The 26,328-nt window shown below is 37.6% G+C and overlaps 1 long non-coding RNA gene across 2 annotated transcripts, besides 3 other annotated features; it reads right to left on the bottom strand.

Annotated features, from left to right (window-relative positions):
• Positions 8,584 to 9,783: an enhancer, noted in NCBI's record as "BRD4-independent group 4 enhancer chr6:115322458-115323657 (GRCh37/hg19 assembly coordinates)". NCBI's record gives its function as "activates an origin of replication core promoter dependent on BRD2, P300/CBP, MED14 and CDK7 cofactors, and independent of BRD4, by STARR-seq in HCT116 cells {active_cell/tissue: HCT116}" and the evidence as "EXISTENCE:reporter gene assay evidence [ECO:0000049][PMID:35650434]".
• On the bottom strand, positions 8,795 to 19,648 carry LOC107986639 (uncharacterized). 2 transcript variants are annotated; one of them, XR_001744318.2, is made up of 3 exons: positions 19,445 to 19,648; positions 12,658 to 12,820; positions 8,795 to 9,487 (listed from the first exon to the last, which is right to left on the bottom strand). It is a non-coding gene; the product is annotated as an uncharacterized LOC107986639 (long non-coding RNA). The 2 variants fall into 2 exon arrangements; XR_001744317.2 differs by lacking the exon at positions 19,445 to 19,648 and having other exon boundaries at positions 12,658 to 12,939.
• Positions 9,105 to 9,204: an enhancer, noted in NCBI's record as "active region_24975". NCBI's record gives its function as "activates an Ori minimal core promoter by ATAC-STARR-seq in GM12878 lymphoblastoid cells {active_cell/tissue: GM12878}" and the evidence as "EXISTENCE:reporter gene assay evidence [ECO:0000049][PMID:35858748]".
• Positions 13,183 to 13,272: an enhancer, noted in NCBI's record as "active region_24974". NCBI's record gives its function as "activates an Ori minimal core promoter by ATAC-STARR-seq in GM12878 lymphoblastoid cells {active_cell/tissue: GM12878}" and the evidence as "EXISTENCE:reporter gene assay evidence [ECO:0000049][PMID:35858748]".
• Positions 19,649 to 26,328: the final 6,680 nt, after the last annotated feature.

Raw genomic sequence — 26,328 nt, 5'->3', positions numbered from 1 at the left:
GGAGAGCTTTACTTCCAACTGTGTGGTCAATTTTGGAATAGGTGTGGTGTGGTGCTGAAAAAAATGTATATTCTGTTGATTTGGGGTGGAGAGTTCTTTAGATGTCTATTGGGTCCGCTTGGTGCAGAGCTGAGTTCAATTCCTGGGTATCCTTGTTGACTTTCTGTCTTGTTGATCTGTCTAATGTTGACAGTGGGGTGTTAAAGTCTCCCATTATTAATGTGTGGGAGTCTAAGTCTCTTTGTAGGTCACTCAGGACTTGCTTTATGAATCTGGGTGCTCCTGTATTGGGTGCATATATATTTAGGATAGTTAGCTCTTCTTGTTGAATTGATCCCTTTACCATTATGTAATGGCCTTCTTTGTCTCTTTTGATCTTTGTTGGTTTAAAGTCTGTTTTATCAGAGACTAGGATTGCAACCCCTGCCTTTTTTTGTTTTCCATTTGCTTGGTAGATCTTCCTCCATCCTTTTATTTTGAGGCTATGTGTGTCTCTGCATGTGAGATGGGTTTCCTGAATACAGCACACTGATGGGTCTTGACTCTTTATCCAATTTGCCAGTCTGTGTCTTTTAATTGGAGCATTTAGTCCATTTACATTTAAAGTTAATAGTGTTATGTGTGAATTTGATTCTGTCATTATGATGTTAGCTGGTTATTTTGCTCGTTAGTTGATGCAGTTTCTTCCTAGTCTCGACGGTCTTTACATTTTGGCATGATTTTGCAGCGGCTGGTACTGGTTGTTCCTTTCCATGTTTAGTGCTTCCTTCAGGAGCTCTTTTAGGGCAGGCCTAGTGGTGACAAAATCTCTCAGCATTTGCTTGTCTGTAAAGGATTTTATTTCTCCTTCACTTATGAAGCTTAGTTTGGCTGGATATGAAATTCTGGGTTGAAAATTCTTTTCTTTAAGAATGTTGAATATTGGCCCCCACTCTCTTCTGGCTTGTAGGGTTTCTGCCAAGAGATCCACTGTTAGTGTGATGGGCTTCCCTTTGAGGGTAACCCAACCTTTCTCTCTGGCTGCCCTTAACATTTTTTCCTTCATTTCAACTTTGGTGAATCTGACAATTATGTGTCTTGGAGTTGCTCTTTTCGAGGAGTATCTTTGTGGTATTCTCTGTATTTCCTGAATCTGAACGTTGGCCTGCCTTGCTAGATTGGGGAAGTTCTCCTGGATAATATCCTGCAGAGTGTTTTCCAACTTGGTTCCATTCTCCCCATCACTTTTAGGTACACCAATCAGACGTAGATTTGGTCTTTTCACATAGTCCCATGTTTCTTGGAGGCTTTGCTCATTTCTTTTTATTCTTTTTTCTCTAAACTTTCCTTCTCGCTTCATTTCATTCATTTCGTCTTCCATTACTGATACCCTTTCTTCCAGTTGATCACATTGGCTCCTGAGGCTTCTGCATTCTTCACGTAGTTCTTGAGCCTTGATTTTCAGCTCCATCAGCTCCTTTAAGCACTTCTCTGTATTGTTTATTCTAGTTATATATTCTTCTAAATTTTTTTCAAAGTTTTCAACTTCTTTGCCTTTGGTTTGAATGTCCTCCCGTAACTCAGAGTCATTTGATCGTCTGAAGTCTTCTTCTCTCAGCTCGTCAAAGTCATTCTCCGTCCAGCTTTGTTCCATTGCTGGTGAGGAGCTGCGTTCCTTTGGAGGAGGAGAGGCGCTCTGATTTTTAGAGTTTCCAGTTTTTCTGTTCTGTTTTTTCCCCATCTTTGTGGTTTTATCTACTTTTGGTCTTTGAAGATGGTGATGTACAGATGGGTTTTTGGTGTGGATGTCCTTTCTGTTTGTTAGTTTTCCTTCTAACAGACAGGACCCTCAGCTGCAGTTCTGTTGGAATGCCCTGCAGTGTGAGGTGTCAGTGTGCCCCTGCTGGAGGGTGCCTCCCAGTTAGGCTGCTCGGGGGTCAGGAGTCAGGGACCCACTTGAGGAGGCAGTCTGCCCGTTCTCAGATCTCCAGCTGCGTACTGGGAGAACCACTGCTCTCTTCAAAGCTCAGATGGAAATGCAGAAATCACCCATCTTCTGTGTCGCTCAGGCTGGGAGCTGTAGACCGGAGCTGTTCCTATTTGGCCATCTTGGCTCCTCCCCTGCCAGAAAATGATATCTATGTTTCTATTGGAGTATTTGTATTTTACTTGATGATGACTAATCCAAAAGTTAGTTATTGCTGAAAAAAAGAACTGTATTATTAAAGAAAAAATTATGTACTAATAGATTAAGTATATTACTGTATATTAAATTTACAAAGATTGAAAATATTGAGAGAAAGTTTTTATCTTTTATAGTGAGAAATCATAAATATATTCTCAACAAAAATAGTAAGAAACAAATACACACCTAGCAAATCAAAAAACAAATTAATGAGCAAGGCAGCTAAAAAAACAAATAAAAGAAAAATAGAAAACTTGCCAACAAAATGATGACAGATGTTTGAACATATTAGAGATGCCAATAAAGTTAAGTAAATTAATCTCATTGAATGGTTAAGTTTCTTAGGATGGGCTTTAAAAATAAAATGACTCAAGTACGCAACAGTTTTTAAATAGAGGCAAAATTAAAATAAAATCTTACAGACAAAATAAAAGTATACATGTAATTTAAAGAACATTTGAGAAAGTTTTACAAAAGAGAAAAAAAATGAAAGGGTATTTTCAAGCTATTTTTAAGTGTATGAGTCCAGAAGTTTTCTTTTTTCTTTTTTTTTTTTTTTTTTTTTGAGACAGAGTTTTGCTCTTTTTGCCCAGGCTGGAGTGCAATGGCACAATCTCGGCTTACTGCAACCTCCATCTCTCCGGTTCAAGTGATTCTCCTGCCTCAACCTCCCGAGCAGCTGGGATTACAGGCTCCTGCCACCACACCCAGCTAATTTTTGTATTTTTAGTAGAGACAGGGTTTCGCCTTGTTGGCCAGGCTGGTCTCAAACTCCTGACCTTGTGATCCGCCCGCCTCGGCCTCCCAAAGTGCTGGGATTACAGGCATGAGCCACCACAGCTGGCCTCTTTTTAATTTGATATTAGAACAAAATAAAAAAATTAGATCGCATAGTCTGTAATATAAACATACCTATATGGATGTATAAGATTGAATAATAATTAAGGAATGAACTGTTCAATAAATTTAGTATTGGGGAAAAATCAAGTTTGCTGGCTCGCAATTCATACAACACCAAATTGAATTCCATGTTATTTAAATATTTAAAAGTGAGAAATGAAAGCACAATAAACTAGAAGAAAGTAGATGTAAATTGTTCATTGATTCTGGGGTGGGAAAGTTTTCCTAAGCTTACACAGAATGATAAAAAGTATCAATGTAAATAGGCAAACTTGGCAATGTATAAACAAAAGCATTTAGATGCAAAAGAACACCATAAATAAGTTATAAGGCAATTTAAAATCTAGAAACATATGGGCCACAAATATGACAAACGTTAGGTTAGTGCCTTATATAAAGAGGTCGTAAAATAGAGAGGAAAGCACTAATAAACCACTAAAAGGGCCATGAACAGACAATTCCCAGAAGATCCATCTTCACTGGTAATGAAAGAGATTAATATTAAAACAACAATGACATTGTTTCAATGTAAAATTAGCTAAAAATTTTGTAATTTGTAATTCTCAATATGACTGAAGAAAAGGTGAAACAGTCACTCTTCTACCCTCCAAGTGAGAGTTCATTACATGAACTTTTATTCATTGGGAAACACATGTGAAGAATTTTTAAAAATCTCCTCACTTGCCCTTTTATCTTCAATATTTTCTAAAAAATAAATCACATATGGCCAGGCACCATGGCTCACACCTGTAATCCTAACATTTTCGGAGGCTGTGGTGGGCAAATTGCTTGAACCCAAGAGTTCAAGACCAGCTTGGGAAATATGGTGACACCCTGTCTCTACAAAAAAAAATTCAAAAAATTAACCTGGCATGGTGGCTGACACCTGTAGTGCAAGCTGTCCAGGAGGCTGAGGGAGGAACACTTGAGCCCAGCAGGTCGAGGCTGCAGTGAGCTGTGATTGCACCAGTGCACTCCAGCCTGGGCGACAGAGTGAGACCATGTCTCAAAAAAAAAAAAAAAAAAAAGAAAAGAAAAGAAAAATAAATAATTATATATAGATTTATATATATGACTTTTGTATAGAATAATATTTGTTGAATTATTATTTATAAAAGAAAACATTAGAAATAGTTTCTATAGGTTCTTGGTAAGTTATAGAACATAAATATAAGGGAAAGGGAAAAGTATATTCATTAAAATGTGTTGAAACAGTATTTAATGGGATGGACATGGAAAAATGGACAATGGAAATGTTAGTTATGTAATATTTAATAAAAAATATATATAACCATCTGCAATAGTGATACAAATATATATATCTTGAGGGAAAAATGGAAGAAAATATGCCAATATATGGATCATTACTTTTGAAATGTTAAAACACTGCTAATTTGTGTTTTTATTTTTATGCCTTCAGTAATTATTCCTAATGACGATGACTTTTGTTATCAGGAAAAAGTAGCATAAAATACAAATATCAGGAAAAAAGGTGATATGGGCTGGAGAGCAGACATAGCCTTCAGAGGCCAGGTACCATGATGGCCCATGGCTGCCCTCCAGAGCACCTACACAGCTTATCACTTGCAGCCACTATCACTGCATTCACATCAGAGCCAGAGTGCCTAGGTGGGGGCAAGTGCTCATAGTCAGCATATTTGCCACCCTTAATATATTTGTTTGTAACTTAATATATTTGTATATATGTACATATATACATAACACACATTCATAAAGGTATACATTTCTCTCTTTTTTTATATATATGTATATTTCTCTTTTGTGAGTACATATGTTAGGGAGGGATTCTACACATAAACTACTGAATTTATGAGTCAGAGGGCATCAAACATGGCTAAACGTCAGAATTACCTGGGAGACCTTTAAGTAAAAAATGACATACCCAAGCCTTATCCACAGATATTCACATTCAATAGGTCTGGGAGGTGGGAACTGGACATCATTTTTAAGTCTTTACGGCTCCTTGTGTGTAGAGTCGAGAATCATTGCACACGGAATTAAAAAAAAGGATTTTCACTTGCAGCCAAATACTTCAATACTATGTTCAATAACTCCTATAGTGCATTTAGGTATTACAATGCTATTCAATTAAGCCCCAATGATGATGTCTTGGTCTTCTGGACAAAATGATGAAACGTTTTAAAGACATTAAAAGCAAATATTTTAATTTTTTTGAATGGTATGCTCTTCAATAACATCCAATAGTGGCTTTTGGGAGTTTTCAATTAAATCTTTGAGCAACTTTATAAATGTTGACTCACATTTCAGATCAGGGTGCTAGGAGGTGCTTTTGGTGTAACAAGTCCTCTCAGATTATTAGCAAATATTCTGCAACTTTCTGTATGTTGAGGTCTCAAATACCTCTAATAGGTGGTCATCCTTTTCCCCAAGGGTAAGAAGGAACTACTTTAGGAGAAGGAAGCCTAGTAAAGACTAGTTTCAGCCAGCTTGGGTGGATTTCACTGTGGGCCTCACTGTTTATTCACTGAATTTCAATTTCAGGAGTGATGGTAAGAATTAAAAGTGAGGCTCCCTGTGAATCTCCAAGTAGAGGATGCACCAGAACCGGTCCTACCCTCCCCTGTGTTTTCCACTTCAACTGCCTGGTCCACGCTCCAATACATATAATGCTCTTATTATTTTTCATCATTTCCTGTGGGATGTTTTCTTTGGGTCTCTAGTGAGATCCACAACCATGCTGTATGCTCTGTTTATTGCAGAACTAAATGAAGCATGCCGGGCAGCATCTGAAAACAATTAAAAATAATTGAAATGAGCTGTGGACTCTACTAGTCTCATTAAGTTTTTTATTTCAGCCTCTACACATTGGGAGATTTAGATCTGAAACTCCAATCCCTGTGGCCTCCTGCTGGCAGGAGAGATTCCCCTTCCCAGGGCAGATAAAGGGCCATCAGTTTTCAATGTTAAGGCTGCACTCAAAACGATCAGGAAGGGAAAAGGCCTGATCACTGCCAAGAGGATTCTGTGGGAGGAGATGTCGTTCTCCACTAGCTGCCTTTGAGCAGCTGCTTTATGAATTAATAAACATCACTATGAATATGCACACTTCTCTTATTAAGAATTCACAAGCGTATTAATCAGTCAGCTCACTGAAACTCAAGGTATTAAAGTTAGCTTTTCTGTTGTCTTTCTTTGAGAGAGACAGAGAGAGAGAGAGACAGAAAAAGACAGAGAGTGAGAAAGAGCCAGGCAGCCAGACAGACAGAAGAGACAGAGAGAAAACCAAAATATTTCAATTATTTCTCTATATAAGGAGGCAAGACAATAAAAAAAAAATGTTAAGTTACTGAAATGAGATCATATTTCAAAAGTCCTCATTAAGGTAACTTGGATATAACAGCCTAAATATCTTAAAAGTTATATTGGAACCCATTTGATGGTTTAGTTACATGAAAATAACATGCATGCTTTTCTACAGAATAAGTTAGTTATCCTAGGAGATACTGTTACTGAGTGGCAAAAAAAAAATCATTTTTTGTAACTAGGAAGGTCAGGGAAATTTAGCTGCGAGGTAATTATTCTTATTCAGATATTTAACATGATTCAGTGACAGGTATGAGGAAATGAGATTAGCTCTTTCCATGAAGAATGACTCAGATGTGAGCTTGGAATAATGTGTGTATAAGGAAGATAAAGGTAGGTATTTTATTAAAGTGATGGTACTTGTGAAGATTATTCCATAGGCAGCACTATGCATTTGCATGTTTGACATAAAATAGCACTGGGAAGATTCCAAGTATAATTGACCTTTTAATTTTCCCTATTTCAGAAGGATCTGATTACCCCTAAGCTCATCTTAAAATGTTCTTCTCCTTTCAACTTTAGAACTGATATTACAATTTATTCCGGATGATCATGTTGATGGGACTAGGAGAATTAGAATCCCTTTAGTTTGTTTCTGTGAGTAAATTAGCTACAAGGGAAAACATTTGTTTCCGATAGAGGATCTTTTTCACTTAATAGTATAAATTCATGATTCTCCACATCAATTCTACATTAGGCAACAAGCCCTCCTTCCTGCCTCATCTAAAGAAAAACAAGAACTTTCCAGTTTCTTTCCTCATACAAAGCATTTTGTTTATAATAATAATAGCCAGCACTTATTAAATACCTACTATGCACCAGTCATTGTTCTCAGTGGCTTACATGCTCTTTCTCATACCAGACAGCTGCCTATGCGGTAAAATATTATTATTATTTTGATTTTGATTTTTATACATAAGGAAAGTATAACTGACGATGAAAAATAATTAGCTTATATAATGTTTAAAGGCAGAGCTAGAACTCAGACCCTGACATTTTAGCTCTTGCATCTGTGTTCTTAACCATCATACCTACTACGTTTATGGATATTGTCCACACTGCACTGGCCTCATTTAGATGCAAAATCCAGAAGAGAGGAGAGAAGAGACACCCTTGAGGTACTGAAACAAGCTCAAAAAGTCTGGAAAGGGGGAAGAATAGATTATGAGGAACTTACTCGTATAAGATGAAGACTAAATCAGGGTCTGGAATTCTAAGGGTCTTGTGCTCCTTGTAAAGGAGGATGAACTTTATCCTAAGGCCATGGAAGTCTTTCAGAGTGCTTCAATCATGGCAGTTGAATGGTCAGGCTTTACATTTCAAACAAACACTGACTGTAAACTGATGAGGAGAAGCAGAGAATAGATTAAGAGGATACAATCATGGTCCATTCACAGGTACAGATGGCTATGTTTTTTGCCCTGAGCGTGCTGGGAGAATGTAGTTAAACATTATGTGTTGATAGATGAAGTTCTAAGAAAGAGTAGGTGACAATATGTGTGTGAATTATAGTAGGCCCTAAATACATTTTATTTCCTTTTTTTCAAAAAGATAAGTGAATAAATTTTCCAGAATTCTCCTATTAGTACATATTCAAGTAAGCAAGTACCAGAAGCCCAGGAAAAGATTATAGGTTGTAGGGGATTGGATATGGAATGTTATGGGAACATTTAATAGTTCGGTGTAACTTTTTCTAGTTGTGTCACTCTTCTTCCTCCTAGTCCTATAGCCAACACTAATTTCCACGGCTGTATGAAATTGCAACCCTCTATTGAGGTGAATGTGAAAATGATTTTGAGATGATTATGGCTCTATATAATTACGTTTCTTGCATCATAAATTGCAGATTTATACTATTAAGACAGTTTAAGGAAAGATAGCAATCAAGACTGGATGAAATAGCATAAAACACAAAATTCTCTGTATCCTTAAAATCTTTTTTTAAATCATTTTTGTTATTCTTCCACTTGTTCAGAAATAAGAAATCTTACCTATAAGTTACAGTTCCTTTTTGAAATTCTAGTATATTGGAAGTGACTCCTGCTGTCATTAGAAAGAAAATGGGAATTAGAATCTGAGAATTAAAAGATTCAGTAAAGAACAAAGACTAGAATTTATTTTTATGAAACAGTCTTAGTGTGGATAAAAAAAAAATTCTTAAAGGCTTGGTATTTTTTACCTATTAGCGGGGAGTGAAAAATAACTATGATGTGAATAACTCTTGAATTATGTTTTCGAAGGAAGTGATATTGAGACAAGAAGTCTTCTTCTGATTGAAGGTTTTTCTCAATTGAAGGGTTCGTGGTCTCACAGGCTTCAAGGAATGAAGCCGTGGACCACAGCGGCGAGTGTTACAGCTCAATTAGAGAAACGTACAGACCCAAAGAGTGTGCAGCGCCAAGGTTTATTAAAGTGAAAGTAAAGTAAAAGCAAAAGTAAAGCTTCCACGTGGTGGAAGGAGACCCGGAAGGGTTTCCGTTTCTGGCTTGGGTGTCTTATGCTTATATCCTCTTATGACTCCTCCCCTTTTCCTTTTTCTGTCCCATAGGATTAGCTTATTTTCTATCTGCTTGTGGGTTGGCAGGCCTGATTGGTTAAAAACATCAGGCTGCAGCTAAAGCTTAAACTCCCTATATGATTGGGTGAAGTTTCAATCACTTAGTTTGCAGCAGTGACTCATTTTTGCTTAGGAGAAAGTCCCCTTTGATTGGTTGAAGTTTCAATCCCTTAGCTTGCAGCTATGACTCATTTTGGCTTAGAGGAATGTCCCCTTAGGGAAGTCCCTGTTGACCCAGGAAGTCTAGCTAACTTAGCCACTTAGTGCCTCAGTACCCCCTCTCAACAGGAAAGCCCAAGTGCTGTTGAGAAGTTGGGCAATGATCATTCTAGCTACTTCCTGCTGAACTGGGGCACAGAAGGGGATCTGCAGTTGAGGGTTCCTCAGGAGGGGAGTCTTCTTCAGTGTCGTGGTGTTAGAACAGGTTGGTAGGTCAGTCTAGGGGTCCTCGATAGTAGGTGCTAGTGGTGGTCATTTGGGGCTCCATTTGTAGAACCACTTGCAGTTTCATGGATTCTATTCTGGAAGAGACAAATTTTACAAGGAGGTTAAAAATGCAGGGTCCAAAGATAAGCAGCATCACAATAGTAGAGGGCAGAAAACCGGTATTCCTTCTCCTATATTCAAGTATATAATGGCCCCTGCTTTAGCTAATGTGTCCCTCCCTAGTAAAGGAGTAGGGCTCTCTGGCATAATAAGAAAGGCACATGAGAAAAATAAGTTTCCCCAGTCATAACTTAGGGGGTGGGAGAAATACCTAGTGACTGGCTGTCCTAGGACCCTTTTGATTTGACAGACCTGGAGGATTGTTGTCTGGGACAGAAGAGTAAAACTGAGAAGGCTGCACCAGTGTCCAGGAGAAAGTTAGTTTCCTGTCCCTCAATGGTTAAGCTTACCTGGGGCTCTGTGAGGGTGATGGCATGGGCTGGTGCCTGCCCCAGGCACCCTCAGTCCTGTTGTTGGACCATCTGGTTAGTGGCCCCTGGCCCAGAGGACCTTCGCCCTTGGGAGCAGTGTGCCTTCCACTGATCCCCCTGGCACAAGGGACATGGATGAGGGGGCGGCTTATGTTTGTTTGGGCAGTCCTTTTTGAAGTGCCCCTGTAAGTTGCACTGATAACAAGCCCTGTTAGGTGGGTTGCCTGCCCAGCCTTTCTTTCTTTCAGAGCCACCGAAGTTCTATTGCCTGAGGGCTGTGACTAAGGAGGCAGCCTTTTTCTTGTCTCATCTGTCTCGTTCAGCCTGCTTCTCCTGATCCCTATTATAAAACACTGAAGTTGCCAAATTCAATAGAGTTTCCAGATTTTGCTTAGGGCCCAGGAAAGACTTTTGAAGTTTTTTTCTAATGTCTGCAGCTGACTAGGTGATAAACTTATCCTTTAAAATTAGTTGGCCTTTAATAGAGTCAGATGCAAAGAGGTATGCTTTCTTAATGCCTCCCTTAGCCTCTTTAAAAATGCCATGGGGTTTTCTTCCTTTCCCTGCATTATATCATTGACTAATTTATTGGATTTTTTTCTGGTCTTTCTTAATCCCTTTAGTATACAAGTCAGTAAATGCCTGCGACTCCAGGCTCCATGCTACAAATCGAGGTCCCAGTGGGGATCCACGCTGGGAACCACCTGTTGGCCTGTGGGGAATTGTTCCCTTTCTTCTGATGTTATTTTATCATTTACCTGGCTTAGGTACCAGAGATCCCCAAACTTCCGGGCTGCAGTTAAGACGGCCTCTTTTTCATTGGGAGTTAATGTTTGACCTAACAACAATGTAATATCTTTCCATGCTAAATCAAAAGATTGTCCTAATCCCTGTAAGACATCTATGTATCCATCAGGATTATCTGAGAATTTTCCTAGGCCCGGTTTGATCTGTTTTAAGTCTGAGAGGGGAAAGGGGACATGTACTCGTGCTGGGCCAAAGTCTCCTCCTCCTACCACGGCTTGGAGGGGGCACAATTGAGACCATTGGCACCTTTCAGTTCCTTGACTATTTTTTTGTCTGGTTCCTTTTGGGCCATTAGGGCCAAAGGAGAGTCCTTACTAGGGGGAGCTGTGGGGAGACCTGGGTATGGGGGTAAGCTTTAAGGACTCCCGGTAGGATGTAAATTACATTTTTTACATAATTGTGGGTTATCTCTTAATGAGAAAAAAACCTGTACATATGGCACTTCACTCCATTTGCCCTCTCGTTTACTAAAGAGATCTAGCTGTAGGATGGTATTATAGTTTATACTTCCCTCAGGTGGCCATGGATCTCCTCCGGGAAGAGGATATTATGGCTAGGCAGTGCTGCAGAAAAATATGTTACTTCTTCTTCAGTGTTTGAGGGTCGAATTGGTCCCAATTATCCAGAATATACCTCAAGGGTGGCTTCACTTTTGAGGGAGCGCCTCCCATCTGAAAGGAGAACACAGGAGTGCCCACACCCCTAGTCATCCCCTAGTAAGCACTAGCCCTAGGGTGTCCCCTATGGTTCTAGTGTCCTTTTCTTTCCAGGGTGCACTATCACTCATGGAACACTGCTTATCAGATTTAATTGCACTTAACTGACATAGCAGTTTTGCCCGCACTTGTTTCCCACCCTTTTTTAGCCACAAAAAAGGGGGCCGGGGCTACTGGATTTTAGTGGCTCCTTACCAGCATGCCCACAATTGCCTTTGCATCTGCGAGTAGGTCTTAGGTTTGGGGTATATTTTGAGTTCAGAGACCAGGCACCAATTAGCATATTTCTGGGCCTGGAGCTTTCCCAGCAAGATAAATTCCTTGAAAGTGGCACTGAAGCACAACAGTTTTAGGGTAGGCAGCGGCAAATTGGAGGACCAAGGTTGGAGCAGTGCTTTTTGTACCCAAATTTTCTGTCAATAAATAAGAATATTTATTGACCTTTGGACTTGAATCGGGGGACCTATTGTCTGTTACATTGTTTTCACCCTATACCTCTGACTGCTTCTAGTGGACAAGTTCCACAGTTCTAATCACTGATCCCAGGCAGGAAAGGTGGTAATTAAAGTAGCCTCTACAATCTGGAGTAAGTTTTGGGCAACAAAAGGAAAAATGTCCTAGGCCTTCTATCAGCCACTGGAATGCCTTTTGATGTCCCGGATAGTGCCTAGGGTGTAGGTTATGAGGGACAGGTCCCCTATAAGTATATTGATACCCATTTGCATAAGAATAAGCCTGGGGGCACCATAGGCAAGGGTCTTGGGATTGCCACCCCTGTCAACTTAGACTCCTAGCTAAAAGATTCTTAGACTCAGGGGTAGGAAAGATCCTAGAGAACAGGGACCCAAGAAATTTTTCTCTGAGGACATTAGGACCCAGGAGGCATGGGTCAGAAAAGGCAGGGAATGCACACATGGGCGGCTGCAGCATAGCGGCTTCTCACTGTGCCATGATCTGGACTGATCAGTGCTGGGAGTCCGGGACAACAGTTTTCCACCTTTAGCCAGCCGTTGGCTTTTCCTGGGTAAAGGTAGAGAAAGGTGGAACTGGTTTCAGGCAAACCAACGCACCCAGCCTGGAGGGCCGGGGGTTGTAAAAGAGCCGTTTCCCAGAAAGCCTCACACCCATGTCTTAAGTCTGGTGGCCAGGCTTGTCACTTTTAAATGGCCGACAGGTGCTTGGTGTTTTCCTTCAATTTCTAGTGAGAAGGTAGAACAGAATAGCAAGCAAAAGGGGTCCGATGTTACTCACCACTTCAGAGAAATCCCGGACAGGCCCCCAGAAATGAGATGAGAAGTCTCTTCCGATCGAAGGTTTTTATCAATTGAAGAGTTTGTGGTTCCACGGGCTTCAAAGAATGAAGGCTTGGACCGCAGCAGTGAGTGTTACAGCTCAATTTGAGAAGCATGCAGACCTAAAGAGAGTGCTGGGTCAAGATTTATTAAAGCCAAAGTAAAGCAAAAGTGAAAGTAAAGCTTCCACACAGTGGAAGGGGAACTGGAAGGGTTGCCATTTCTGGCTTAGGTGTCTTATGCTTATATCCACTTATGACTCCTCCCCTTTTCCTTTTTCTGTCCTATAGGATTAGCTTATTTTCTATCTGCTTGCAGGTTGGCGGGCCTGATTGGTTAAAAACATCAGGCTGCAGCTAGAGCTTAAACCCCCTATACGATTGGTTGAAGTTTCAATCCCTTAGTTTATAGCTGTGACTCATTTTGGCTTAGGGGAAAGTCCCCATTGATTGGTTGAAGTTTCAATCCCTTAGCTTGCAGCTATGACTCATTTTGGCTTAGGGGAAAATCGCCTTAGGGAAGTCCGTATTGACCCAGGGAGTCCAGCCCACTTAGCCACTTAGTCCCTCAATATGGACAAAATTAAGCTATAAATGCAAACATAGATATAAATAAAGTATAGTTAAGCCATTATATATACGTGTATATAAATGTATATGTGTATAGTTTATGTGTATATGTTTATGTATCTATATCTTCACTGTCTCTATTTCTACATATGTGTGTCTTATGAAAATATGTTTGTATCTGAAATATACATATATACAGATACATATGTGTGTGTGTGTATACATGTATATGCGCATTCAAGATATTGGCAGAGCCTGGGGTGGAGGAAGAGTATAAAAAATGGTTAAATGAAAGTCACCTAAACTGAAAACACCCAAATTTTCCACATTTTATGATCTGTGTAGCAAGCCTAGGGAAACAAGAGGCAATGACACTCAATTAATAAATGAAAAGCATTTGGGTAGAAAGGAGTAGACAAAAAGAAAATGCCATTCAGGATTCATTTTATTTTTTACTTTATTTATCTTGATTAAACCAACTCAGGACTAATAAGGAGTGAAAATACAGGAGATAGGTGTTATACTGCTGAGTTTCTCACAAAAAGAGAAGGTGATTGGAAGGCAACTGGCTTTTTTTTTTTTTTAACTAATTTACCATGTGTAAAATGTCATTGAAATTTTCTTTATTTGAAATGCTATCTTCTAGAATTAATTATAGAAATCCTTGTATGGATTTTTTTAATGGCTTCATTCACACAAACCATTTTTTTCCTATTAAGATTTGATTGCTTAGTGGGAGATGTCTCTTCCATAAAAACGAATGTGTTTATGAATTCCTTCCTTTTAAATAATGTTTGAAGAAACTTGTTAATCCAGCAACCATTTTTGTAGCATTCTTATGTTGTGCTTCTGAAATTGTGCTTGGAAGCTCATCTGTAACTTGATTTATATGTCATGTAGTACATATTTCCTTCATGTAGAAGGTTAAGCACTTTCTGATCATTTATTTCATTTGAGCTATGTTAGTTTTGACTTGTAAACCAAAAAAAATAAAAATAAAAATAAATTCTAAGCCCACCAACCACCTGAATGGACTCCTCTTGGCCAGGAGCATCATAAAGTAAACCTGAAATAGTAGTTCAGGCCATGATGGGAATGTGGGGCCGGACATGCCTCATTCTACCTTCCTCCCTTTAGAATTCAGGCACAGCTGACCAGTATTAACATTAAAAAAGATACCTTCAGACTGACAAAGGGAATCTTTGTAATAATGCGACACCAACATGATAGACAGCAGGCCCTGATAGAAATCCAAGTGTTTTACCCCAAAATATATTTCTTTGACATAGTTTTAAATGGCCCTGCAAAGCTGTCTCTTTTGGGGAAAAATCTACATTCTGTAGAAAATCTCTGTACCTTTTTAAGTCAGACAAGAAACATTTGCAATCTATTCTCTCTGATGCCTGCTACCTGGAGGCTTCATCTACATAATAAGAACCTTGGTCTCTACACCCTCTTATCTTAAGCCAGACACTCCCTTCTATTGATTTCAGGTCTTTAGATAAAACTCTTTCAACCAATAGACAGTCAGAAAACCTTTGAATCCACCTATGACCTGGAAGTCCCTCTCCACACTTCAAGTTGTCCCACCTTTCCAGACCCAACCAATGTACATCTTACATGCATTGATTGATGCCTTATGTCTCCCTAAAATGTATAAAACCATGTTGTAGCCTGACCACCTTGGGCACATGTTTTCAGGACCTCTTGAGGCTGCGTCACAGTCCATTGGTCAATCATATTTGGCTCAGAAGAATTCTCTTCAAATATTTTACAGAGCTTGACACTTTTCATCAACAGACTGCATAATTTTTCCTGGCATTATACATTTCTATATTCACTTCAATCACTCTGATGCTCATGATTTAGCACATAAATTATACGGAAAATACTTAAATGTAATGTTCAATTTCACAATATAGATTAGATTGTTACTGAGCAAGATGGCCTTAAAAGTTCCCCTTGGCTTGACTACACTGTACACAGGTTTCTTCTCTGGTCTTTGATCTTCCTTTCCTTAGAGCATTTACTTTAGAAAACTTGAAACCAAATTCTTTCTCTGTGACTTTGAGATATAAATCTTCTTTTAGCTTCTTGATGGTTTTACATCCCAGGATTCTTTTTCATGTGGACCTTGGAACTGTCCTTTTGAAATGTGATCATCAAGAAAGACAGTGCTCCTATTCTCTCCTTTCTGTGGGAGGGGAGGAGCCTGCTTTCCATTAGTACCAATTATAGAACACAGATAACCTAATCACAATGACAAATTTTTTCCCTAAAATCTTCCAATTTTTAAAAAATTTATTTAGAAGGAACAAATGCAGATTTGTTACCAATAATTTTTCAGTAGCTCATCCTAGCCTTAATAACTCTCTGGCTTTGTGTTTCAATAGATTTGGGTTCAGTCTCTCTCCCTTTATTTCTCTTCAGCCCTACTGCAATCATCTTGAATAAAGTCTTCCTTACCTCTTTAACTCGTCTGGTGCAATTTTTCTTTGACACTACCAGATGTTATGCTTTATTTGAAATGTTTTCCAAAGACATAGGGCCAGAGATTTATATAAAAGTATAATTAGATTAGGCAACAAAGTTAAATAGGAGAAAAATACATTTAAGAATATTATGTGCATATTAAAATGATTTCATACATTTAATATAGAAAAAATTCATTAAATCTAAAACATATTTTTAATGCACTTGATATGGATCTAGTTTTAATAGGAAAACAGTATCAATCATACATATATTTGTGTGTATGCATATAATATTCATCAAAACAGCAAAAGGATACAGTGGTCTTCACTAGAAAGAGATGTTATTTTATAATTTAAAATTTATTTTCTTATATTTCTACCAGAAAGGGGTCCCAATCCGTTCTCCATGAGAGGGTTCTTGGATCTCATGCAAGAAAGAATTTGGGGTGAGTCCATAAAGTAAAGTGAAAGCAAGTTTATTAAGAAAGTAAGGTATTAAAGAATGGCTACTCCATAGGCAGAGCAGCCATAAGGGCTGCTGGTTGGCTATTTTTATAACAATTTCTAGATTATATGTTAAACAAGGGGTGGATTATTCATGAGTTTTCTAGGAAAGAGGTGGGCAGTTCCCAGAACTGAGGTTTCATCCTACTTTTAGACCATATAGGGTAACTTCCTGACATTGCCATAACATTTGTAAACTGTCATGGTGCTGGTGGAAGTGTCTTTTAGCATGCTAATTCATTATAATTAGCAGATAATGAGCAGTAAAGATGAACGGAGGTCACTTTTGTTACCATCTTGGTTTTGGTGAGATTTGGCTGGCTTCTTTAACACAACCTGTTTTATCAGCAAGGTCTTTGTGACCTGTATTTTATGCTGACCTCCCATTTCATCCTGTGACTTGTTGTAGGTCTCAGCCTTATTTTACCCAGTCCCTATTCAAGATGGAGTTGCTCTGGTTCAAACGCCTCTGACATATTCTTGAGTTTTTTCAAAAAATTTTAAACTTATAAATTTAAACTTTAAAATGATGTTTTAAAGGTTTGAATACTAATATTTAACCCTTTAACTTTGAATTTTAATGTCATGATAGATTTAGTATTCACGGCTGGCTCAGGCTGCATCTATTATTTATACTTGGTGGCTTTCATTCCCATAAAAACCCTATAGAGAGACTTCAACACTCTCAGCAGAAAAACATTAAAATGATTGTGTTAAGCCTTTTTAGTTTTCTAAAGTCAACATGGAAACTTTTTAATGGAAAATCCAAAACTTCCCTTGGAAATTTCTACTAAGCTAATTCTAAGTGAATAGAGGGAATTCCTGAGGCATAAGAAGTGGAAAATGAATATACCCTACAACTGCAGGGATCAGTCTCTGTCAAGTGAACATGAAGAAATTCATTAAAAAAAAAAATTCTATGTCTGTGATTCCACATCTCATTTGTATACTGGTCAAATTCAAGTCTTTTTTCCAGGAAGAGTAATTTACCACTTGAATGAATTACTTTCTTTCTACTTTTTCTTTCTCTCTCTCTCTTTTCTGTTTTTAATATGCATGGACTTGAGAAAGAAGCATTCAGCAAGGCAAAACTGCAGAATGTGGTATCTGAATTTTCAAGGTGCCAGGGTGACTTGTATACCATTTTCGCACCTAGGTAAATGTCAATGTTGCCAGGAAAATCTTTTTTATTTTCTTCAAATTCTTCTTTGTCTGATTGAAATGTTTCATTACCACAACATAAGACTGTGCTGAAGCCATAAGACCTGCAGGTGATTATCAGAGGTCCATATGACTGCAAAAATAGTGTTCCCAGCGTTTCAAACAGCACTCACACATGTAGTAAAGCAATGATTCATGAAGGTGGGGAAAACCAGGTTGTATTATCACATTATGGTGTAGTCTGCATTTTCTTTTCTTTTTTGATGGAAAGAAGTTAAAGAAAGGGTGAAGAAAGGCATGAGCTGATGTGTTTTAAAAAACTATTTGCTAATGCTAAATTATAAACATCACCAAAAGGTATAAGCAGATAAATGAAACATCATTTGCATAATAAAAACAGATTTGTCACAGCACAAAAATTTTCAAGGGAGGTTTTTAAAACAGGTATCTATCATCTTGAATTTTAAATACCTTTTAATTCCCCCAAAATAGCTTTATGTATACATTTTTTAAATTCACCTATTTACAAGCTTAGAAATTTGAAAAATGACTTTTTTAAACATAGAGACCTATTTCATAAAAAAATCACTGCCAACAAATAATTGTAAGAATTATTTTATTTTTATTGATTGAGAAACAACACTGATGGCAGATAATTCCCTTTAAAACTTTAATCTAAATGAAAACATATTAAATGATGTTTTAAAATATATATCATACTTTTGCAAACATAAATCCTCTGTGATCCAGTGTTTCTTTTAGAAAGAAAGGATTGTCGTATGATTGCATGATAGTGTTTGGATTGTAATATAGCTAAGAATTTATTCTCCTCCTTTAAAAAGCCTTATATGATTCAGCAGCTATCTTCTGCCGAAATCACTGATACAGATGATTGTTTTTTAACTTCTAACCCCTGAGTAATAGAGATTGTCGGTTAAATGCAGTCAGTCAATATTGTCTAGTATTGTAACTCTATAACTACATTAGAATCTGCTGAGGAAGGTAGAAACAAGTAGCAGGGATAGTGTTACATAAAGGGAGGGAGAAATTACCGCAATGGCATTCATGTCTCTTATCACCTTTATTAAGGTCTAATGAAGTAGAGTATAAGCAGTTTGTCCTTATTGCCTCTAACTAGCTATCTGGTTGGTGCTACTGCAATTATTGTTGGTGTGTGTGTGTGTGTGTGTGTGTGTGTGTGTGTGTGTGTTATTGTTGACCTGTTCTTTCCTGCTAAAGCTTTTGAGATTTTAAACAGAAGGTGATCACTAAAATTGTAGTAATGAAATCACTGTGTCTTTCTGTGTCGATAAAGTGATTGGCTAGATACTTATACAGATATGCATTGCTTAATGATGGGGATATCTTCTGAGAAATGCATCATTAGGGTATTTCATTGTTATATGAACATCACAGAGTGTATTTACACAAACCTAGGTGGTATAGACTACTACATACCTAGACTACATGGTATAACCTGTTACTCATAGACTATAAACCTGTACAGCATGTTACTGCACTGAACACCACAGACAATTTTAACACAAACACAAGTATTTGTGTATGTAAACATATCTAAACATATAAAAGATTCAGTGAAAATATGATATAAAAGATTTTTTAAATGGTACACCTGCACAGAGCACACACCATGAATGAAGCTTGCATGACTGCAAGTTCTGGGTGAGTCAGTGAGTGCAAAGGCCTAGGACATTACCATACACTATTGTAGACTTTAAAATCATTGCACATGTAGGCTACACTAAAATTATAAAACATATTTTTCTTTCATTAATAAGAAATTAACCTTAGCTTACTATAACTTTTTACTTTATAAACTTTTAAATTTAACTTTCTGATACTTTTGTAATACATAGCTTAAAATACAAATGCTTGTGCAGCAGTACAAAAATATTTTCTTTATGTCCTTATTCTAGAAGCTTTTAAATTTTTTACTTTTTAAAAATTTTTAATTTTAATTTCTAATGTTTTTACTTTTTAAAAATGTTTTGTTCAAAACTAAGACACACACACTTACCCAAGGCCTACACAGGGTCAGGACCATCAGTATCACTGTCTTCATCTCCACATCTTGTCCCACTGGAAAGTCTTCAGGGGCAATAACATGCATGGAACTGTCATCTCCTATGATAACAATGCCTTATTCTGGAATCCTCCTGAAGGACATGCCTGAGGCTGTTTTACAGTTCACTATTTTTTTTATAAGTAAGAGGAGCACACTCTAAAATAGCAATAAAAGATATGTCACAAATACATGACTAGGAACACATAGTCACTTACTATCATTATCATGTATAATGTGCTGTATATAATTATGTGCTATACTTTAGTGTGACTGGCAGTGCAGTATGTTTGTCTATACCTGCATCACCACAAACATGTAAATATGCATAACGCTGTACAATGTCACTAGGAAATAGGAATATTTCAGCTTAATTATAATCCTGTGGGACCATGATCATATGTGCAGTCTGTCATTGACCAAAATGTTATGCAGCGCATGACTGTACTCTATTTAAACTGGATAGAGCACCACTTTCTTCTGTGTCTAAGCACATTTGCAAAGTATGTATCTATAAAAGATATAATTGAAACTTCATTTTCTTGGTAAGACAGCATTATAATAATTAATTTTATATTATTAAAAGCCAAAGTACCAGTGGAAATTTATTTTAGAGTTTGATATACCAAGGACCTGCAAATGAGAGCAGAGAAATAGGCTTCAACTTTTCCTAATGTTTATATATTGCCTTGAGTATTTTAGTTTTTTAAAAAATACATATTGGAAGGTAAATGTAGGGAGTGTTCATAAAATATTGTCTATATAAAGCAACTATATAAGAAACATGCCTAACTTGTTCGTCATGTATAGAGAGCTCTATTAATATAAACAAGGCTTCTTTGAAAAATCTTTCTGTCTGTGTAAATGGTAGTAATGACTATTTATTAACAGTTTTCTGTATACTTTCTTTGAGAAGCCAATTTTGCTTTGTTTAACTGAATAACAACAACCCTAAAGGAGAGACCATTCTTGGTAAATAAGGGGAAAATAAATTAACACGGAGGTTGTATAGGCAGTCTGAATAATGATTAGAAAAAATGAAAAGCATCACAAAAATTACTCTGAGAAGTATAATTGAGTGGAATTTTTTATTATTGGTGGCCAGAAAAATCTACAGGGAAGGTCATATTTGGAGAAAAAAGAGTTTATTGAGCTTGCTGACAGAGCAAAGGGAGTGAACTGAATGGCTGCAGAGCACCTGTCATGGAGCTGTGGTAGCATGTTGCATCCGTCTCTCTATAGAAATACCCTGTCAGGCAGACCAGAAGATATATTTGATGATCGGATATGGTCACCTAGTCAGTCTTACAGACGTACCGTCAACTTGCTCACAAAGATTTTAGGTATTCAAGTGATGCCGTGTAATGTGATGCTGAGTAGACTCAAAACAAGAAAAGCTTGATAATTTTGTCATTTTGAAGGAAGGGAAAAGATAACTCTTGGATCTTTTGAAGATACTGACAAAAATGGCTTTGCTAACCCAGCTGTTACCCTCAACCCAGAAATTCCTTCTATCTCTATAGGCAGACAATTTAGGAAAGAAAAAATCATTCCAATTATTCTTAGTGTCAATAAATATGTGGTGGCCCTTTCCTCTTTCCATGGGGAATGGAATATTTTACTCACACAACCCACCTATGTGTATTGTCAAGAGGTTTGAAGAGAGGGGCGTAGCAGGAAGGGTGACATGTACCTCACTTTCTGCTTGGGGCGTGCGGCTAAAGAATCAAGGGACTTCACCCTGGTGTTGACATCAGAGTGTGGTCAGGGACTTCACCCTGGTGTTGACATCAGAGTGTGGTCAGGACATTCTCAAGAAAACATGACTACTTCCTTGCAATTTGGTTCTGGTACATAGATGTGGCCATTAGTATCTGCCAGTTAGCTGCAAAATTCTGGCAGTGGGAAGCTTGCTAAAGAAGCTAACATTACCAGGACAAGTAGGATCTAGAAGAATGAGAATCCCATAGCTTCCCCAGTTTTAAATGGCCTTTGGAAAGCTGGAAAGCAGAGTGATGGTTTCTGTGGTTCCATCTGACGGAGCACAAAGGTCACAGAATAGGCCTAAGAAAAGGTTGCATAGGTGGCTGCCAAAGAGAGAGGTTTTCTTCACCCAGAATTGGAGCTAAGAGCAAGGTCTACTCGCAGGGACTGAGGATGGCAATGTGACTCTGCCTAAGGAAGTCCTTTATGATGCTGGAGCCTGCAGTAAAGGAAAACACTACCCACAGGAAACCCAGCCATGCTGTCTACATGGAAACCATCACACCAACTGAAGCTACTAGGAACAAGACAAAACAGACCCTGCTAGAGTGGAATTAGTAGAGTGTCTCCATCTACAAACGGTAGCTGGAATGACACAACCACTCCTGTCTCCCCAGTTTCCTCTCTCCATTACAACACAGTGAAGAGTAGAATTAGGCATGTGTGCTTTCCCAGTGCAGGGCCCTGGCACCTGGACAAGGCACATGCAGCCTCCTCGAGCCACAGCAAAGCATGTGCAGGCCCTCAGAGAAAGGGTAAAGCATGATGTGAGGAGAAAGAGAAGTTGTGGGAGAGAGAAAGATGGGATGAGGAAATGTAACTGCACAGGACTGGATACTTTTTTAGGTTTTTTTTTTTTTTAATGTGAAAGTAAACAGAAAATTATGGCTCTCCATGAGTTGTCATTAGGAGTAGGAAAGGGGGCCTGGTGCGGTGGCTCACACTTGTACTTGTAATTCCAGCCTTTTGGGAGGCCAAGGCAAGCAGATCATTTGAAGTCGGGAGTTGGAGACCAGCCTGGCCAACATGGTGAAACACAATCTCTACTAAAATACAAGAAAATTAGCTTGGCATGCTTGTGCATACCTGTAATCCCAGCTACTGGGGAGGCTGAGGCAGGAGAATTGCTTGAAGCCAGGAGACAGAGGATGCATGCAGTGAGCCGAGATTGCGCCACTGCACTCCAGCCTGGGAGACTCTGTCTCAAAAAAAAAAAAAAGAGTAGGAAAGGGAAATTTCCCAAACTAGTGGTAAAGGCAGTTGTCGAGAAAAGTAAAACTATTTTCTTATTGTACCCTATGGAGTTGATTCAGTTCAATAAACCTGAGAGAATGCCTGTACCCCCATTGTATCTTGGAAGTAACTAACTTGCTTTTGTTTTACAGGTTCCTAGACAGAAAGTACTTAGTTTGTCTCAGATGAAACTTTGAACTTGGACTTTTGGGTTAATGCTGGAATTAGTTATGTATTAGTCAGGCTTTTCTAGGAGGACAGGACTAATAGGATGAATGTATATATGAAAGGGAGTTTATTAAGGAGTATTGACTCACACAATCACAAGGTGAAATCCTACAATAGGCTATCTGCAAGCTGATGAGCAAGGAAGCCAGTCTGAATCCCAAAACCTCAAAAGTAGAGAAGCTGATAATGCAGCCTGCAGTCTGTGGCCAAAAACCTGAGAGCCCTAGCAAACCACTAGGGTAGGTCCAAGAGTCCAAAAGCTGAATAACTTGGAGTCTGATGTTCAAGGGCAGGAAGCATCCACCATGGGAGAAAGATGAAGTCTGGAAGACTCAGCCAGTCTAGTCCTTCCACCTTCCTCTGCCTGCTTTTTATCTTAGCCATGTTGGTAGCTGATTAAATGGTGCCTACCCAGATTGAGGGTGGGTCGGCCTCTCCCAGTTCACTGACTCCAATGTTAATCTCCTTTGGCAACACTGTCACAGACACACCCAGGAACAATACTTTGCATCCTTCAATCCAATCAAGTTGACACTCACTCAGTATTAACCATCACAAGTTAAGACTTTGGGGGACTATTGGGAAGGCATGATTGGTTTTGAAATGTGAAAGGGACATGAGATTTGGGAGGGGTCAGGGATGGAATGACAGTTAAGCTTTGTGTTCCCACCCAAATCTCATCTTGAATTGTAATCCCTAGGGGATTACAGAGAGCGAGACCTGGGAGAGGTGATTGATCCTGGAGATGGTTTCATCCATGCTGTTCTAGTGATAGTAAGTTCTCATGAGACCTGATGGTTTTATAAAAGCCTCTTTTCCCTCTGCTTCCTTCACGTGCTCTCTGTTTCCTGCTGCCTTATGAAGAAGGTACCTACTTCCCCTTCTGCCATGACTCTAAGTTTCCTAAGGCCTCCCCAGTCATGAGGAACTGTGAGTCAATTAAACCTCTTTTTCTATAAATTACCCAGGCTCAGTGGTATATTTATAGCAGTGTGAAAACAGACTAATACACAAATATATATATATATATTTCTTTACAAATAAATATATTTGTAAATATGTACATATTTCCTTACACATACACAAATATATTTCCTTACAAATATATATCCTTAGAAATATATATATATTTCCTTGCAAATATATACATATATAGATAATTCAGTTATAAGCAAATTATATCATTGATTATTAACTGAAAAATGTGAAGAGATAATGAAAACGCTAAATTAGTTTTATGAATAAAGACACTGAAACATTAGAAATCTTTAAAATAATGGCTTTTCACTAGTTGCGGCTCAAAGGAAACTAGAAATGTTATCTCAGGAAATAAAAGCAAACTCTATTGTACCCATATTTTTGTCTGTAGCTAGAGGAGCCATATTACATTTACAATAGCAACAGAGAGAATATGCTGACTACCACAGGGTGATATGTTAAGTATAGTTTATTGTGTATAGTGGATGTGAAACTCAAGGATAAGGAAATAATTTGCTGATAGGGTGTAGAGAATAGAATGAAACTTGGTTGATTACTGTTTGGGGCACTAACATGAAGAAGAATATACTTAGATCTGAAGATGTCCTGGTTTGGGAAATGCAGAGTTATTCTTCTCTGAAATCAATGAAACAGCTCAGAAAGGTGCCTAAGTTATTGCAGGCTCCAACAGCACAATTTCAATATAGATAAATTATTTTTAATGTAAAATATTGCTCTAATGTTTTATCACTATCATCTCTTATCTGTACAGTAGTTACAGACTGAGATAGATACTATATGATATTCAGATTAATATCATATAGTATCTCTAACTATGATCTCAGTATCTCTAACTGTACAATAGTTAGAGACTGAGATACTATCTGATCATAGTATCACAAAGACTTTCATTAGATAAAAAAAGTACAGGAAAATGAATACAAGTTTATCAAATCTTACTATTTTATTCTTTTTTTAAACACTATTCTACAAAATAGAAGCAACCAGCACATTTTAGGTATTATAGTTAAATTTAAGTTAACATCAAGTTCTATAGAAATACAAAGATTGAAAAGATGAAGTTCCATTTTCCAGTGGTCCAGTGGGAAATTTCATTTATGACGTCTTCTCAGCCCTGATACTATATCATTTTCTGAAACTGACATAAAGTGGAGGACATGGAAATTTAAGGAAAATAGTATTGTGTATTATGTTATTTTTTTGTATGTATAATAATATAATTATAACAAACATAATTTTCCTATTACATTTCTGAATGTATAATTACTAGGCTTTCACTACTTAGAACATATTCACAATGCCTATCCATTTGTATCTAAATTCCTTTTATTTTTCCACTGAAGAATCATATTCCATAATTTAAAAATAGCATAGCAAGAAGAAAAATCTAATACAATCTACATACTTTGTGATGGCTTTCTTAAGAAAGTATTTTAAATCAAGCAAGAAGAATATTTTTTTCTCTCAAAATCTTCTTCCTCTCTTCAAATGAGTCTTTCATTTTATTGATTCTTTGGCACTGTCAATAAATTTCTTAAGTCTGCTAAACTTGGGTTTCCATTTTACTTTAACATGTTTTCACCTATTTTTCTCTTTTTCATCATGCATAAGACAATATTTCTGTGTTAAAAAAGCTTCTGAAAGCTAATATATCAAGAAAAAAACATATATCAATTGCTGTGGCCAGCCTGAAGGACAACAGAATTGCTTTGCATGTTGCAGTCTTACTTTGTTCAAACAGGGTATACTGCATTTCATCAAACTTATAATGTTCTTTATTTTTTATATATTTATTTTATTTTGTAGCAACAGGGTCTTGCCATGTTGCCCAGGCTGGTCTTGAATGCCTCACAGTAAAATTATAATTGAACTCAAAGTTGCTTTTGTACTTTTATTAGCATTTACATTTTTGTCTATTTGATTCAGATTATTTTAGTCTATTTTATTTAGGTATTTTATTATGTAGAAACAAAATGTGGATCTAGCATTCAACAAAGTGCTTCTTTTAAACAATAGTCATTTAGTAAATGCTCAACTGAATTTGTTGAACTTAACATATGTTAGGTATTCTGAAAATATACATGGCATCATGTGGCTCTGAGGAATCTGAGATTATATTTTTGACTCTAACATAAAGAATATTCTAACCGCTAGATCTAAAGATGATTTCGTTTAAGAGATGTAAAGTTATCCCTCTCTAAAATACACAAAATGACACACCTAACCCACTAGACAGGAATGTAGAAAAGACATTCAACTATTGGGTGGTAAACCTATATGTCCTTGTTATACACTTCTGGAAAGAACATGTTTGTTTTCAGGTAAGAAAATCCATGCATCCATTCTAAAAATGTTTATTAGTTAGTTAGATCCTCTGAGCTATAAAGACCCAGCGGAGGATGCATAGAGACATGCTTAGCAGTTGGCAGTAGAAATCTGCAACATGGCAGACACTTAGGAAAGAGATCATATTTTTATAAAAAGAATAATTGCAGCAGCTGATATAGAAAGATTTTCTAAGAAATCCATACATGTAGAGGCCCTCAGGAAGGCAATGACCATCAACAGAAACAGGGTAGGAATGAGCAGAGCTAAATGGTGGGATGTGGCTGGTC

Source organism: Homo sapiens, chromosome 6 (genome assembly GCF_000001405.40).
Source record: "Homo sapiens chromosome 6, GRCh38.p14 Primary Assembly".
Lineage (NCBI taxonomy): Eukaryota > Metazoa > Chordata > Mammalia > Primates > Hominidae > Homo > Homo sapiens.
This window is presented reverse-complemented; position numbering and strand designations above follow the sequence as displayed.